The sequence below is a fragment of the Homo sapiens genome, chromosome 2, assembly GCF_000001405.40.
Source record: "Homo sapiens chromosome 2, GRCh38.p14 Primary Assembly".
In the NCBI taxonomy this organism is placed as follows: domain Eukaryota; kingdom Metazoa; phylum Chordata; class Mammalia; order Primates; family Hominidae; genus Homo; species Homo sapiens.
This window is the reverse complement of record NC_000002.12, coordinates 230,761,403-230,779,474: the sequence shown is the minus strand read 5'-3', so window position 1 is coordinate 230,779,474 and position 18,072 is coordinate 230,761,403. Positions and strand designations below refer to the sequence as shown.

The window sequence follows — 18,072 nt, the reverse complement described above, 5'->3', positions numbered from 1 at the left end:
TTTATAACAAGCCCACTCACTTGCCTAGAAAGAGATGCGGATCATCCCTTACTGCTGACTCGTCTGGGAGGGAGGTACAGAGTTTTGTTTCAGTTCTTAGCTGTTTCCTTATGGCTTCTGAGAAGTGCTTCATCCTGTGTGGCTGTACAGAGCAGCCGTATGTGGTGGGAGTGTGGAGGCTCCAAAAGAGCACAGCACAGAGGAAAGGGTCTGGGGCTTGGCAAAGCTTCTCAGATCAAGGCTCTGAGTTGAGAGGTGAAGTCCCTATGTCCCATGGGGCCAGGCATATTAATTCTAAACTATGGAGCCTGACTTCCACATATGATCAAATGATAACAACTTCATCTTTAATTACATTTAATAATTTTTTAAAGTTAAAATATTTAAGTGTTAGGATCAACTTAAGTAGTAACCAGTATCCCAAAGTTCACACCTAATGCTCACCTCACTAATAACAGTATCAGAAACTAAACTTTCCCTCCCAGGGTGAGGACATAGGTAACTATAGTCACGCACCACATAACGTCTTGGTCAACAGCAGACCACAGAGACAACTGTGGTCCCACAGATACAATACCATATTTTTGCTGTACCTTTTCTATGTTTAGATAAACAAATACTTGCCATTGTGTTCCAACTGCCTACAGTATTCGCTATAGTAACAAGCTACACAGATTTGTAGCCTAGGAGCAACAGGCTGGAAGAAATCGCCTAATGATGCATTTTTTGGAATGTATCCCTGTTGTTAAGTAACGTGTAACAGGACTTCAAATTTTTAAGGATAGAGTCCATAATAACCTCTTCAAGTAGCACTAAGGCTATGAGATTTTTCACTGCCTGCTTTCCCATTAAAAAATAAAACAGGGTGGGAAAATAAGCAATTAGTAAGCTAAACATTAGTACAAATGGCCTTTTCAGAGATCACCAAAACCTCAGGAGGTTTCGTATTAACTCTCTTGACTTAAATCCAATATTCCCACGGTACCTATCAGTGCACTATTTTACTGTCACTAGAGGCAATTGCTGATAAAAAGTAGTGATACAAAAGTACAATTTCAGAAGACTCGAGAAGACAGCTCACATACCCATTAGTGCTTCTATGCAATGTCCTTGAAGTACTCACAGCCCTTACCAACACTCCTCCTCTGGACTCAAGCACTCAGTAGATCCAAACCGGCCTTACGTTAGGAAACAAGGTGACAAGAAGGCTACTTCCACATGAAGGGACAGGACTTTACTTGGTGAGATACAAGACTGGGCTGCCCTCTTCACTGTCCCCAATTTTTAGTAGTTAGTAGCAATTCTAACCTCAATATAGAAAGCACACTTAAAGACAAACATAGTAACATGCTGAAGTATACAAATGGCTAAGTCAGACATTAAAAACCTTACAAAAGATTCTATTTCATAGTAATAGTAACAATCTTAAAAGGATAAAATATTCTTCCTTCTTATCAGAGGCAAAGGCTTTTAGATACGCCACTGGTAGGAAAATAAATTGGTACAACTTTACTGGAGGGCAATTTGGCAAAATGTTATTGAAGAGTTTTAAAAGGTGCAAGGCCTCTGACTCATTTCTGCAACTTCCTGTGAATTATACTTTCAGGAATTTACCCTATGGAAACAGACAAGTACACAAAGGTAAGTACATGCAGTGTTACTTACAACAGCAAAGAATTAGAAGTAAAAGTTATCCCACTGAACTAGTTTAATCATTACGTACCCATAAAATGGAAGAACCACGGCAGGCTTTAAAAATAATTGAGGGCCAGGGGTGGTGGCTCACACCTGTAATCCCAGCACTTTGGGAGGTGGTCAAGGTGGCGATCACTTGAGGTCAGGAGTTCAAGACCAGCCTGGCCAACATGGTGAAACCCCATCTCTATTAAAAATATGAAAATCAGCCAGGTACCTGTAATCCCAGCTACTTGGGAGGCTGAGGCACAAGAATTGCTTGAACCTGGGAGGCAGAAGTTGCAGTGAGCTGAGATTATGCCACTGCACTCCAGCCTGGGTGACAGAGCAAGACTCCATATTTAAAAAAAAAAAAACAAAATTGAGATCTATATGCACATGAAAAGATGTTAAAATTTAAAATTAAAAAAAAAAAAACAAAAAAAACACCAACAGGTTACAGAGCAGCATGACCCCATACTCATTTACTTATCTGCCCCAGAGAGAGGGAGAAAACAAGCTAGAATATGAATGAGAATCCCCACCAAGTTAACAGTAGTCATTTCACGTGGTACTGAATTAAGGATAAACTTAATTTTTTTCTTTATAGTCTTGTATTTTCTGCTTTTTGGGGGAATGAACATACATCATATACATCATTAGAACATGACTTTGTATAGATACAGAAATAAATTAGAATCTATGAAGGAAACAAAGATCTTTCTCGCACACACTCATACACACTTCCCTACTACACAATGTAGAATTCCAATATACTAGTTAGAATAAAGTAAAACTAAAAAAGTGGATGAAAGGCCAGGTGCGGTGGCTCAAGCCTGTAATCTCAGCACTTTAAGAGGCTGAGGCGGGCGGATCATGAGGTCAGGAGATCGAGACCATCCTGGCTAATACGGTGAAACCCCGTCTCAACTAAAAATACAAAAAATTAGCCGGGCGTGGCAGGCGCCTGTAGTCCCAGCTACTGGGGAGGCTGAGGCAGTAGAATGGCATGAACCCAGGAGGTGGAGCTTGCAGTGAGCCGAGATCGTGCCACCGCATGCCAGCCTGGGTGACAGAGCGAGACTCCATCTCGGGGGGGGAAGAAAAAAAGTGGATGAAGTGAGACAGAGCACCTGGAACCATGACCTACTTGTTTCTCCAGAGCAATGAACTAGTGACACTCACAACCACTTGTGTGGATCTCATGGGAATGATGCTGAGTGGAAGAAAGCCCATCTCAAAAGTTTACACACTATATGATTCTATTTATTTAACATTCTTGAAGTAATAAAATGTATAGACTTGGAGAACAGATAAGTGTGATGCAATTGCATAGAGCTATATGCATATCCACACAAACTGTAAAACTGGTGAAATCTGAACAAGCCCTGTGGATTATACCAATGTCAATGCTCTGGTTTTGATATTGTATATAGTTATGTGAGAGGTTACCACTGGGGATATGGGTGAAAGGTACATGGGTTCTCCTGTACTCATTTCAGCAACTTCCTGTGAATTAATTAATTTCAAAATAAACAAAACAAAGTAAGGCAACATAAGACTTCTATAGCGTAAGACCTCTTGCACTCCCCCTCAGTATACCCTTAGGTTGTCTATAAGGCCCTTTTCATTCTACCAAAGCTTGTTTCTCTAGTCTTACTTCCTACCATTCCTCTTTATCTCCACCTCTTAAAGTCACACTGAACTTGTCACTGTTTTCTGAACATGCCATAGGTTGTTTCAAATTCTGTTCCCTTTCACACTTTGCCTGCCAAAAACCTTAAAAATCAGCTTAAACGTCACTTCAAACCTGTCATCTCTGTATCTGTCTCTGACAGACGTAGGAACTGCTTTATCCTCTTGGTTCCCACAGAATTTTATCTGCGCCCCCAAGTCCCTCTATATTATATTATTTACATGTGTATCTCCTCTACTGGATTATATACTTTTTTAAGAACGGGGACAAGGTTTGACTCCTATGCCTATCTGCCCACACAGAGAGGCACTAAAATGTCTGTGGATTCAATCAAACTGGGGATCTCTTGCAAGAGATAATGATGCAAGTAAAGACAGTAGACAACAACAAAGGCAACCATGCATGAGGAAAACGTTAACTCCAATGCGCACCACTGTTAAGTCATCTTTTTAGAAATAATTTTGAAGGGATCTATTTAGCAAAATTTTCCATACCTGTGTTCATTAGTTTACATAACTGAATTGATTCTAACTTACATATAACTAGTTATTGTTAAGAAATGCCTCAAAGAGGCCAGGTGTGGTGGTTCATGCCTGTAATCCCAGCACTTTGGGAGGCCACAGTGGGAGGATCACCAGGTCAGGAGATCAAGACCATCCTGGTCAACATGGGGAAACCATGTCTCTACTAAAAACACAAAAATTAGCTGGGCATGGCAACGCATGCCTGTAATCCCAGCAACTCAGGAGGCTGAGGCAGGAGAACCAGTTGAACCCGGGAGGCGGAGGTTGCGGTGAGCCGAGATCACACCACTACACTCCAGCCTCGCAACAGAGCTAGAGTCTGTTTCAAAAAAAAAAAAAGAAAAAAGAAAAAAAGAAATGCCTTAAAGAGCTCAGATTTGGGGGGAATGATGAGGCTTAAATTATTATTTTTTGTTTTTTTTGAGTTTCTTTAAACCCAATCTTTAACAAAAGAATCATTTTAAACAAGAGTCCTCTAAATATTTACCCATTTATATTTACTGCCTGAAATATCAATTCATTCTACAAGAAGAGATTAAATGACCTTGTTGAAAAAAGAAAGTTCTATATCAAAGTAAATGAAGACCAAGATGTGAAATGGAATCTAAAAGTGAACTGACAGATACTGTTGGTGCCAAGTATTTGATAATAAGAACAATTCTATTATCACATTAATTCCAGTGATAAATGCTTTCTACCTCCCCCAACCCCCACCTCTTTACTAAAGAAAATGTCTGCATAGTCTAAGCTGAATGATCATGGACTAAGGAAAGTCTATTAATAACCTTCTGGTGTCCAAGATTACTGTAAACAAGTTTAGTAACCATGAGTCACTGTTAAATGGCCATGCTATGAAGAGGCTACTCCCTTTCCCCCCTCTTAAAATATGTCAGCAAACTTACTCCTCTCATGAAATGAGTGAATATAGCTATTCAACCCTGTGAACACAAGCATTCATCGTAAGGAAGGGAACCACCTATAAGCTGAGCAAGGCAGCCATACCTCCTTTATACAGCATGTGGTGGGCGAAGAGTGCGTAAATAGTCCCCACATACACCACATCTGTTTGGTTGTTGGCAGTGAAAGACTAAGTCCCACCCCACCCCTGCCCCTAGTTACCTAAAAATAAGGATGGTAACATTAACCGCTTTTTTAAAATGTAAGAAAATTAGTTTTGTATGAATTCTTTTAAAAGAATTAGTCTCCTAAGAGACTAATCTATTTGTATCATACACAATTCTTAATGTGGTAACTATGTACCATATAAAACAAATACAAATACCAACATATAACAAATAAAGGAATAAACACTCAAATGTTATATTTATCATTTTGTCTGTGAGATCACAAGAAATGGATGGAAAAAGCCCAGGGACATAATGAATAAAGTGGAAAAAGGCATAATTTTACCATGGATTTGGCAGAGCTAGGTGTGAATTCCGTCTTTGACTCTAATATAATGAGTCAAAGTAATAAGCCTAGTAAATAACAGCTTTCTTCATCTGGATCACGGGAAACCAGAATCAATTCTATCTCAAAATAAGATGGGGGACTCTATACAAAGGCACCTTGCAAAGTATGGTGGTATATCGATGTAAGGATATGTCAACAGTGCAAAGCTTGAATTCCTTCTAGAATACTTAACTAAGTGGTCACCTAGTCCATGTCAATACCTCTTCAGAAACAGAAAACTTGCTGTCTTCTGAAAAAGTCAGCTTCCACTTACTGTTTTTCCTAATATCAAGACAAAATTGGACTTCTTGTTTTATTTCCACTCATGGGTCTGAATTCTACCTCCTGCCACGATCAGTTCGAATCCTTTTGTTACATTATATGGTCTCCCAAATACATTTTACTAAGAGCAAATCCGCCCTACAACATTACTCTGCTCAAATCTTCTCCCTAGGCTGTACCTCACATCTTGAGGTCATTCAACTGTTCCTCACAGTAGAGTTTTGAATTTCTATGTCAGCCTGGTCACTCCTCTCTTGGCACACTGCAGTTTCTCTACATCCTCAAGTGTGGACTTGCCTATACAGAGTAGAAGATAATCGCTGAATTTCAATAGTGTATTTCAAGTATTGCAATCTAGCCTTCCAATGGCCTTTCTGGGTGCTTTATGGTTTCTAAGCCACATCTGCCCCAGTTGGTACATAAACAGTCTTTTTTTATTCACTACTGAGTTATAAATGACATACAATGAACTCCACATATTTAAAGTACCTAATGTAACACACACACACACACACACACACACACACACACATATATATATATATATACACATACACCCATGAAACCATCAAGATAGTGAACACCTCTGTAACCACCAAAACCGTAACCACCAAAAGCTTTATGCTCCTTTGTGGTTCCCTCCCTCTACCATGCAACCCTTCCCCTAAACATCTTTATCAAAGCTAAAGCAACCACTGATCTGCTTTCTGTAATTATGGATTAGCTTTGTTTTCTAGAGTTTTGTGCAAATAGAATCATATACTATGTGCTCTTTATAGTCTGGCTTCTTTTGTTCAACATAATCACTTTGAGATTCATCCATGCTGTTGTATACAGCAATAGTTTTTTTTTTTTTTTTTTTTTATTGCTGAGTAGTACTCTGTTACATGGATGTACTACAGTTGGTTTATCCACACGTCTGGGCCATTTACAAATAAGGCCGCTATGAACATTTAAGCAAAAGTCTTTTCATGAACATATATTTCTTGTTCTCTTGGGTAAATACTTAAATGGCTAGATCATATGGTTGGTTCGAGTTTGGTTTAAAAAGCTGCCAAACTAGGCCAGGCGTGGTGTCTCACGCCTGTAATCCCAGCACTTTGGGAGGCCGAAGCAGGCAGATCACGAGGTCAGGAGATCGACACCATCCTGGCTAACACGGTGAAACCCCGTCTCTACTAAAAAATACAAAAAATTAGCCAGGCGTCTTGGTGGGCACCTGTAGTCCCAGCTACTTGGGAGGCTGAGGCAGGAGAATGGTGTGAACCAGGGAGGTGGAGCTTGCAGTGAGCCGAGACTGTGCCACTGCACTCCAGCCTGGGCAACAGAGTGAGACTTCGTCTCAAAAAAAAAAAAAAACCTGCCAAACTATTTTCCAAAGTAGTCATACCATCTTATATTCCCACAAGCAGTTCCAGCTGCTCTGTATCCTTGCCAACATTTGGTATAGTCAATATTTTCCATTTTAGCCACTCTAATAGCTGTGTAGTGGAATCTCCTTATGGTTTTACTACACAATTTCCTAATGATTAACATCTTTTCAAGGGCTTATTTGACATCTGCCTATCTCCTTTGGTGAAATGCATATATGAGTATCTTGCCCACTCTTAACTGGATTGTTTCTAACTGTTAAATTCTGAGAATTCTTTATATATTCTAGATGCAGTCTTTTATCAGATATATGCTTTGCAGACTTTCTTCCAGTTTGTGGTTTGTCTTTTTCATTCTTCTAACAGTGTCTTCTGAAGAGCAGGTTTTAATTTTTATGAATTCCATTTATCATTTTTTTTAAAATGAATTGTGCTTTTTGCATAACATCCAAAAATTATTTGCCTAACCCAAGGTCACAAAGATTTTCTTCTGGCAACTTTATAATTTTAGGTCTTACATTTGGCTATGTGATCCATTTTGAGTTAATTTTTAAATATGGTATGAGGTCTGAGTCCTATCTTTCTGCCTACTAAATAGTTTCAGCACCAATTGTTGAAACAACTACCTTCTTTCTGCACAACTGCATTTATGCCTTTGTCAAAAATCAATGTTCCATACATGTGTAGGTCTATTTCTGCACCCCAATCTGTTCCATTAATATATCTATCTTTGCACTGACACCACACTGTTTTAACAACCGTAGCTTTTTAAGTCTAGAAATCAGACAGTGTGAGCCCTCCAACTTTGTTTTAATTAGTTATTTTGATTACTCCAGGTCTTTTGCACTTCCATTCAAATTTTAGAACAAACTCTTTGATTTAAAAATCCTGCTGGAATTGCACAGAATCTCTAGATACATCTGGAGAGAAGTGACATTTTAACAATATTGAGTTTCCCAACCCATGAACAACATGTATCTCCTGCTTATTTGGGCTAATTTCTCTTAGCAGTATCTTGCAGGTTTCAGTGTACAACTCTTTCACTTCCTTTGTCAGATTTATCCCTATTTCATGTTTTTATGCTATTCTAAATGGTATTTTTAGCATTTCATATTTTTTGATGCTATTCTAAATGCTAGTTTTTTTCTTTTTCTTTTTTTCCATTCTTTTTTCCCAATTACACCTAACACTCTTGAATACAAGGTATTTTTAAATTTCAATTTTGGACTGTTCATTGCTACTATACAGAAATACAACTGATTTCTGTATATTGACCTTATAACCTGTGACTCGCTAAACTTATTTACTAGTCTACTAGTTGTGTAGATTCCTTCAGTTTTTCTATGTAGATGATCATGTCATTTACAAATCAAAAGTTTTACTGCTTTCTTTTCAATCTGAATGCCTTTAATTTATTTTTATTGCCTGACTGCATAGGCTAGAACCTCCAAGTACGAAGTTGAATAGTTGTGGTGAAAGTAGATATCCCTGTCGTCTTCTTGATCTCAGAGATAACATGACTTAGCCTTTCACCATATGTATAATGCTAGCTGTAGGATTTTTGCAGATGCCCTTTATCAGCTTGAGAAAATTCCCTTCCTCTATTTCTAGTTTGCTGAGATTATTTTTTTTATCAGGAATAGATGCTGGTTTTTTTCCCCTTTTCATCAATTGACATGTACTTTTTCAATATAGTGAATTATACTGATTAACTTTGTAATGTTATACTAGCTCTGCATTCTAGGAATAAATCCCACTTGGTCTACTATTCAATTTGCTAAAATAGAGAAATTCTGCATCTATGTTCGTGAGACATATTAGTCTGTAGGTTTTATTTTATTGTAATACCTTTGTCTGATTTGGCGATGATTATAATTCTGACCTCACAGAATGAGTTAAGAATGATTTCTCTTAAATTTTCTGGAAAGGTTTACATAGAAATTGTATTATTTCTTCCTTAAACATTTGGTAGAAATCTCTAACAACGCCATCTGGGCCTAGAGTCTTCACTGTGATAAGGAAGGGTATTAACTACATAGGGCTATCAGGTTATCTATTTTTTCTTGAGTTAGCTTTGGCAATTTGTGTCTTTGGAGTTTGTCCATTTCATCTAAGCTGTTGAGTTTAATGGCATGCAGTTGTTCATATATTCCCTATTAACTTGTACAATCTGTGGTAATGTCACTACAGGAATCTCTCACTCCAGATAATGGGAATTTGTGTTTTCTTCCTCCTGGTCAGTCTTAGCTAGAGTTTATCAATTTTCTTGATCTTTTAATTTTTTTTTTCTATTTAACTGATTTGTTTTGATAGCTATTTCCTTTCTCCTGCTTACTTTGTATTTAATTTGCTCTTGTTTTTCTAGTTTTTAAGGTAGAAACTCAGACCTTTCTTCTTTTTAAATATATTTTAACATAGATATTTAGTGCTAGAAATTTCCCTGAGTAAAGCTTAGCAGCATCCCACTAATTCTGAGATGTATTTTTGCTTTTATTCCACTCAAACTACTTTCTTTTTTTTGAGACAGGGTCTCACTCTGTCAGCCAGGCTGGAGTCAAGTGGTGTGATCTCAGCTCACTGCAGCCTCCACCCCTGGGCTCAAGCGATCCTCCCACCTCAGCCTCCCGAGTCCCGGCCCTTTTTTTTTTTTTTGTATTTTTAGTAGAGACAGGGTTTTGCCACATTGGCCAGGCTGGTCTCCAACTCCTGAGCTCAAGTGATTTGCCTGCCTCAGTCTCCCAAAGTGCTAAGATGACAGGCATGAGCCACTATGTCCAGCCTCAAACTACTTTCTAATATCTTCTTTGATCCATGAGTTATCTAGAAGTACGATATTTAGTTCCTAAATATTTTGGGATTTTCTAAGGATTTTTCTGTTATTCATTTCTAATTTAATTCTATTGCAGTCTTGGAACATCCATTGTATAACTTTATCCTTTAAAATGTACTGAGACCTTTTTCTTTGACCCAAAATATGGTCTACCTTGGTAGATCTTCCATGTGAACTTCAAAAGAATGTGTAGGTGTGTTCCACAGTTGTTGAGTGTTCTATAAATGTCAATCAGGTCAAGTTGGTTGACAGTACCATTCTGGTCTACCTAGAAAATCCTTGCTGATTTTCTGCTTGCTTGTTCTATCAATTATTGATAGTGGGGTACTGAAATCTCCAACTATTAATTGTGTATTTGACTACTTCTTGCAGTTCTATCAGGTTTTATTTTGCTTTAATTTGAAACTCTGTTACTAAGTGCATAAATGTTTAGAATTATTATATCTGTTGGAACATTTCACCCCTACTTTATCATAAAATGACTTTCTTTACCCTTGGTAATATTCTTTGCTCTGAAGTCTATTTTGTCTGCTATTAGTACAGCCCCTCCAGCTTTCTTTTTATGAGTGTTAACAAAGTTTATCTTTTTCCATTCTTCTTACTTTTAACCTATTTTAAGTTGCTAACTGTAAAGTACATTTTTTAATAGGCACCATATAGTAGGGATTCTTTCATCCAATCTGACAATCTCTGTTTTTTAAATGGTTATTCAGACCATTTATATTCAATGTGATTACTGATACAGTACATCTGAGTCTATCATCTTACTATTTGTTTTCTATACCACATCTGTTATTTAATTCCCTTCATCCCTTTTCTGCCTTTTTAAATTAATCAAGTGTTTTTAATGATTCTGGTTTCTTTTTGACACATGGTCTGTTTTTTTACATACAGAGTCATACTTTTATTTGTACTGTGTTTTGTCAATTAATATTAACCATTCCCTCTAACCACTGACCCACCACCTCCACCTAATTGACCCGTTTTTGGTGCCTAATTTAGTCACCCATAGAATGTGCTATTCTCCTCCAATTTTTGTCTTTCACAAACTTGGCTAATTAAACCCTTTAATTCTCTTCATATAACTTAATCACAATGAATGTCAGCTTAGACTTGAGAACTGTCCTAGATCACCAAAACCCTGCCAACAAGCTCACAGTGACTCAATCATCACATCCATCAGTTATGATTATTTATCTAATAGGGAAAAATGTCCCCTGATCACCCTTAACTACAGGGAAGATGATGAACATAAACCTGTATGGACAATACCAGGACCACCAGTAAATATCTCTTGAGAAAGGACATTTATCTTACTACTACTGTGGGCAGTAGCACTGAAAAGAAATATAATACAGTAGTTGGCCACCATCACAGAATCCAGAGAACATACCTAGCTATGGTACTCTCTCCTCAGTCACAAATTCAATATATAAACTCTTATAAGTCTTAGCAATATCTGTTTTAACTAATTCAGATAAGATTAAGAATTCAGAAGAGAACAAGATGACTGTGTTTCATGTTATTAGTAACTCTGTTTTTGATTCCATTTTCAATAAATACAACTATTTGTTGAGCTCTATCTTTGAAAGGCTGATGGTCTAACAAGGGGAAAATAGCAAGCATATATCATTACGTATAGTGCACAGGAAACTAGAGCAAGATAAGGGGGAAGAGGAATGCCACACGGTAGGGTTGCATTTTAAATAGAGGATTGGGTGAAAAATGGCACTTGAGCAAAGACTTGAAAAATATAGGAGGTAAGCCAAATAGAGCACTAGGGAAAGAACCTTCCAGGCAAAGGAAAAAGCCAAATGCAAAGGTCTCCAACAGGCAGGAGTATGACTGGAGTGCATGAGGAAAGGAGACCAATGTGGTGAAGAGTATTAGGAGACAAGATCATAAAGTCATGGGCCTCATTGCTCAGGGCAGGAGTTGGCATTTATTCTTCTGTAAAGGAATAGACAGTAAATATTTTAGACTTTGCAGGCCATATAAGGTCTCTGCCTCATATACTTTGCTTTTTTAACCAACTCTGTAAATGTAAAAACCATTCTTAGCTCACGAGATTGATAAAAATAGGCCTTACAGGATTTGCCTGCAGAAATTACTTTAGGCCCCTGTTAGGACTTTGACTTTTACTCTAAGGAATATATTATTTGACTCATGTTTTGAAAGAATCACTATGGTTGTAGGGAAACCAAGGGAGACCAGTGAAGCAGTGAGCAGGACACTACAGTAATCCAGGGCAGAGAAAAGGACAGCTCAGTGGGAACAAGGAAAATGGGGAGAAGGGATTAGATTCTGGACTTTTTTTTTCTCCAGATAAAGTGGATAGATTTGGGGAGTGAGAAAATAGTCATGGGTGACCCTTAAGACTTTTGGCCTGAAAAACGGAAAGGATAGAGTTATGCTAATGATGAGCATGAAGAATGTGAGTGGAACAGGTTTTGAAGTATGCATTTTGCTTCAAAACAGAGTAGAACTTCTATCTGTAAAGCTTCAAAATTATCCTGCTGTGATCTGAATAGAATTGCTTTAAGCATGATTTGGGAAGAAATGGCATTTTAACTATATTCCATATTTACTTCTAATAACATAGGCCAGGTAATTCTTGTACCTCTGAACAACATCCTTGAGCTTTCTTCATATGGGTTCAGCGTACTTCCTGATGAAAATGTTCCTGGACATCTTATACTTATTTTTTTGCTGCTATAGTGAATGAGCTACTTTCTTGTAAAATTACATTTTCTAGATATGGTTGGTGATATGATTGGGATATCTGTTCCCTCCAAATCTCATGCTGAAATGTAACCCCCAGGCCAGGCATGGCAGCTCATACCTGCAATCCCAGCAATTTGGGAGGCCAACTGGGCTGAAGCTTAAGCCCGGGAGTTCAAGGCCAGCCTGGGCAACATTGTGAGACTCGGTCTCTACAAAAAATAGAAAAATTTGCCAAACATGGTGGCACATGCTTGTAGTCCCAGCTACTTGGCAGGCTGAGGACTGATTGAGCCCGGGAGGTGGAAGCTGCAGCAAGCGATGATCGTGCCACTGCACTCCAGCCTAAGTGATAGAGTGAGACCCTGTCCCAAGAAAACACATAACCCTAGTGCTGGAGGTAGGGCCTGGTGGGAGGTGTTTGGATCATGGAGGTGGATCCCTCATGAATGGCTTGGTGCTCTCCCCATGGTAATGACAGAGTTCTCACTGTGAGTTCATGCGAGATCTGGTTGTTTTAAAGACTGTAGTACTTCCTAGTCTCTCTCTCTCCTAATAAACTCTCATTTTTCCCATTAATTATCTTGTATTTTGTAAATGTTTATAAATACCTCTACAATAATTTCCCCTCTTTACTTGCAATAGGTATATTCTTTATTTCTAAACCACTTCTTTATGCATTGATTAGAATTTCCAGAACAATGCTCAACAGGTCGCAAGCACCTGGGTTTATAGTCATCAGATTTTCAGTATGACATCAGTTGTTTTTCACTGTTTTCAATTAGTAATGGATTTTCATCTTTCCATTGTTTTCAGGTCTCAGTACTCTCTTCGTTATTTGCATTAGTTGCTACTTCCTTTCGAATCCTGATAAGAAAGTGAACTGGAAATTCCAGGGTTTTTCCCTCCTAGTCTTAAACTATTTCAGCATAAGTAATTTGCATGGGCTGCTCTTCAGAAATGCCTTGCTTTGAACTAAAATTTATTTTTAATAAATTCAAATGTTTTTCTTTGTTTTGTTTATCCTAATAGCGAAATGTCTATTCTTGTTCAATGCTGGTTTAGGGCAGGAGTTCTCAATCTCAGCATTGTTAACATTTTTTTGGCTAGATAACCCTTTGTTGTGGGGAGCTATTCATTCCCTGTTTAACAGCATCTCTAGCCTGTACTAACTAGATGCCAGTAGTAGTATTCCCCTAGTGTTACAACCTGTAATGTCTCCTGACATTACAAGTGTCCCCTTCAGGGCAAAATTGCCCCTGGTTGAAAATCACTCATTTAGTCAAGCAGATGATATGGATTGCATCAGAGACTAAACTTGCCTTCTATCATTCAAGACTCATTTTCAATGTCACCTTCTCAACAAGACTTTCCCTACATAACCTACCTAAATTAGGACATTCTCCCTACCTGCAGCCACTCTCATACACAGCCTTTTAACTATCATAGTACCTTTCAAAGTGCGGACCCTTGAGGTCCTCAAGACCCTTTCAAAGCGTCTGTAAGGTCAAGGCTGTTTTCATAAGACATGTGCTTCCTCCCTCTGTATTGCTATTTATACTGATGGTGCTGACACCATCATGAACCAAGCATGAACAAAGGCAGTGACGCCAAACTTTAATAGCAGTTATTGCAGTCTTCATCACCGTGCACTCAGTTAAAAAAAGTCAGTCCATTGGGAGGCCAAGGCGGGTGGATCACGAGGTCAGGAGATCGAGACCATCCTGGCCAACATGGTGAAACCCTGTTCTCTACTAAAAATACAAAAAAAATTAGCTGAGTATGGTGGTGCACGCCTGTAGTCCCAGCTACTTGGGAGGCTGAGGCAGGACAATCTCTTGAACCCAGGAGGCAGAGGCTGCAGTGAGCCAAGACTGCGCCACTGCACTCCAGCCTGGCGACAGAGCGAGACTCCGTCTCAAAAAAGGAAAAAAAAAGGTCCAACTTAGGAATGTTCCTGAAGCAGTAAAAATTTAATTTTATTAAATCTTGACCTTTGAATATACATACAATATTTTTAACACTTGGAGTTAACAAATGGCATGTACATATAAAGTACCTTTGGCTCCTTATAGAATGGTTATCTTAAAGAAAAGCCCTTGTGTGATTATTTCAGCTATAAGTTCAACTAACTGCTTTTGTTATTGGAAGACAGACAGACACACTATTCAGACTTGAATTATCTGGCAGTTATTTTCTCTAAAATGAATAAAATGAACCTGTCACTTCAAGGAAAACGACCAACTATATTTGTTGCCAAATCTGAATTCTGAAATTTGACTAGATCATGAATAAGCTTGACCACATCCCAATACTTAAGACTCTTCTAATGAGATCAGTGGTGTTATTTAAAAATGTTAATTTTTATAATCTGTATAATGTGTCAACATCTGGGAGATCTGTATATGTCAGTGATCCAACACAGATGCTCCTCATAAACTGATGATGGAGCTACATGCAGATATACCCATCAAAAGTTGAAAATATTGTTAAGTCAAAAGTGCATGTACTACACACCCAACTCACAGAACATCACAGCTTAGCATGGCTTACCTAAAATGAGCTTGGAACACAATAGCCTATCATGGGCAAAATCCTCTTACCCAAAGCCTATTTTATAATAAAGTGTGGAATATCTCATGTAATTTATTGAATATTGTTACAAAAGTGAAAAACAGAATGGTTGTATGGGTACTCAAAGTATGGTTTCTACTGAATGTATACCTATTTTGCAACATTGCAAAGTTGAAAAATCTTAAGTCAGGGACCATTTGTACTTTCTTTGTTTTGTTTTTTTTTTGTTTTTGAGACAGTCTTACTCTGTCACCCACGCTGGAGTACAGAGGCACGATCTTGGCTCCCTGCAACCTCTGCCTCCTCCGTTCAAGCAATTCTCCTGCCTCAGCCTCCTGAGTAGCTGGGACTATAGGTGCGTGCCACCACACCCGGCTAATTTTTGTATTTTTAGTAGAGACAAGGTTTCACTATGTTGGTCATGCTAGTCTCGAACTCCTGAACTCAAGTGATCCGCTCGACTAGGCCTCCCAAAGTGCTGGGATTACAGGTGTGAGCCACCATGCCCAGCCACCATTTGTACTTTCTGAACAACCAAAACATGTTATAAAATCATGTACTGGTAAAAGTTTCGTTCAAAGTACAGAGTATAAAAAGTTCATTCATGTAGTTTAATGTTCTGTAATGCAATCAAGAAACCACCAATTGCATGGTATTAAATATTTTACATTATCTGAAAGGCTATTAAAATACTGCTCTTTTTTCTAATTACACAGCTGTGAGACCAGGTTTTCTTTTTCTCGTCTTTGTTTTTTTTTTTGAGACAGAATCTCGCTTGTCACCCAGGCTGGAGTGCAGTGGCACCATCTCGGCTCACTGCAACCTCTGCCTCCCAGGTTTAAGCAGTTCTTGTGCCTCAGTCTCTTTGAGTAGCTGGGATTACAGGCGTGTGCCACCGTGCCTGGCTAATTTTTGTATTTCTAGTAGAGAAAGGGTTTTGCCATGTTGGCCAGGCTGGTCTCGAACTCCTGGCCTCAAGTGATCCACCCACCTCGGCCTCCCAGGGTGTCAGAATTACAGGCATGAGCCACCACTCCCAACTTTAAGTATACATTTTCTTTATATACTTAAAGCAAAATAATGTTTGAGCAGTTTGATTACAAACATAGCTAAGATAAGCCAGCTGTTTTCTATTAAGCCAGACACGGAGATTTTCAAAACTTAAAACAATGCTACACTTCTCACTAAATTTTTTGTTTTGGACAATATGGTTATTTTTCATTAAAACACATTATTTATAACTTGTAATGAGTTTATTACTTTTAAATGTATTAATAAATATTGTTAAATTTTTCAGTTTTAATTTGTAATAGGGTAGCATCAATAGATAACACACCTATACTTACACGAATCTCTTTTGGGTCCTCAATAATTTAAGAGTATAAAAGGGGTCTTGAGACCCAAAAGTTTAAGAAATGTGCTCTATCATCACATCAGTACATTCTATTGCTTTTGTGGCACTTGCTGCCAACTGAAATTCTTTTTCAGCTATGTTTACTTATTTACTGTCCAGCTTTCTTAATTAGAACGGAAGCTACGAAAGAGCAGAGACCTTGTTCATCTTATTGAGTATTATATCCCCAGTGCCTAAAATCTGACCCAGCATTTAGGTGTTCAGTACGATTCTGATGAATAGAATGAATGTAATGAGTAGACAACATATTTAGCCACAGACAAAAGATGAACCATTTTTAATTTATGGGACATACACATTATCCTTTCATCAATTTGCAGTTTTAAGATAAGGATTAAGGAATAGCCACTGAGGGCAGTTCCAGCAGACATGTATCATGTCTACTCTGTGGGGTCTGCTCTCTCCCGACTGCCTCTAGAGGCCAGTCTTGGGTACCTCTGCTCTTTGCTGGCTGTTAGCTGCCTCCACCTGGTGCAAAGCCTGTAGGGCTATCAGGACTGCTGAGTGCTTCCTAAAGTTGAAGATGTCCAACTGTGAGAGGGAGGTCAAGTTATGTGCTATTACCCTCTGAGTTAGTAGATGTTAATGTGGTTCAGTCAAAAGTCCCCTCTAACTTCTTGAGGTCACTTTGTTTCTAGTTTCTGGAGCTAAACTTTTCATATTTTTATATCCCCATTGACCAATAAAATGAGAAATGTACTTGAATCCTGCGTTTACAATACCACTTACCAGCTGGGCACGGTGGTTCACACCTGTAATCCCAGCACTTTGGGAGGCTGAGGCTGGTGGATCACCTGAGGTGCGGAGTTCGAGACCAGCCTGACCAATATAGTGAAACCCCGTCTCTACTAAAACTACAAAAATTAGCCGGACATGGTGGTACGCACCTGTAGTCCCAGCTACTCTGGAGTCTGGGACAGGAGAACTGCTCGAACATGGAACGTAGAGGTTACAGTGAGCTGAGATCGTGCCACTACACTCCAGCCTGGCTAACCGAGCGAGACTCCATCTCAAAACAACAACAACAACAACAACAACAACAACAACAAATAAAAAACAAACAAAAAACAGTACCACTTACCTTACCCAAGGAAGTTCTCTTAGAATCTATATTGTCTTATTATAAATTGTTTCAATTAATCTAGTTTCCCAGTCCAAAGGGCATTAGAAACATTGAACAGAATGAGAAAATGCAAGGAAGCTGGGTAAGCTTAAGATCAGCCAGCAGCACATACCAAAAGATAATAAGCAATAAAGGAAAATACAGACAGAACAGAAATGATAACTCATAGGTACCGAAGCCAGGACCATTTAGAGTAGGAATAATTAGTTGTATACTCCTCAAACTCACCTGAAAGCATCCGTACTACACTGAAGTATAATCCTTATGACAGAAATCCCAAATCAAATAATGATTATGACATTCTAAGAGGTTACAACAGATACAAGTGATACAACAACTATGCTGCTTAGTTACCCTGAACTAAGGTACCACCTTAGTTCCAGTACCATCACACTCCAGCCTGGTATTATTA

The 18,072-nt window shown here is 38.5% G+C and overlaps 1 protein-coding gene across 5 annotated transcripts in view, besides 1 other annotated feature; it reads right to left on the bottom strand.

Moving 5' to 3' along the window:
- CAB39 (calcium binding protein 39) overlaps positions 1–18,072 on the bottom strand; it is a 108,234-nt gene that overhangs the window by 41,601 nt on the left and 48,561 nt on the right. The window lies entirely within an intron of this gene.
- Positions 4,587–4,881: an enhancer, noted in NCBI's record as "tiled region #14077; K562 Activating DNase unmatched - State 5:Enh". NCBI's record gives its function as "activates a minimal TATA promoter and a strong SV40 promoter by Sharpr-MPRA in K562 cells {active_cell/tissue: K562}" and the evidence as "EXISTENCE:reporter gene assay evidence [ECO:0000049][PMID:27701403]".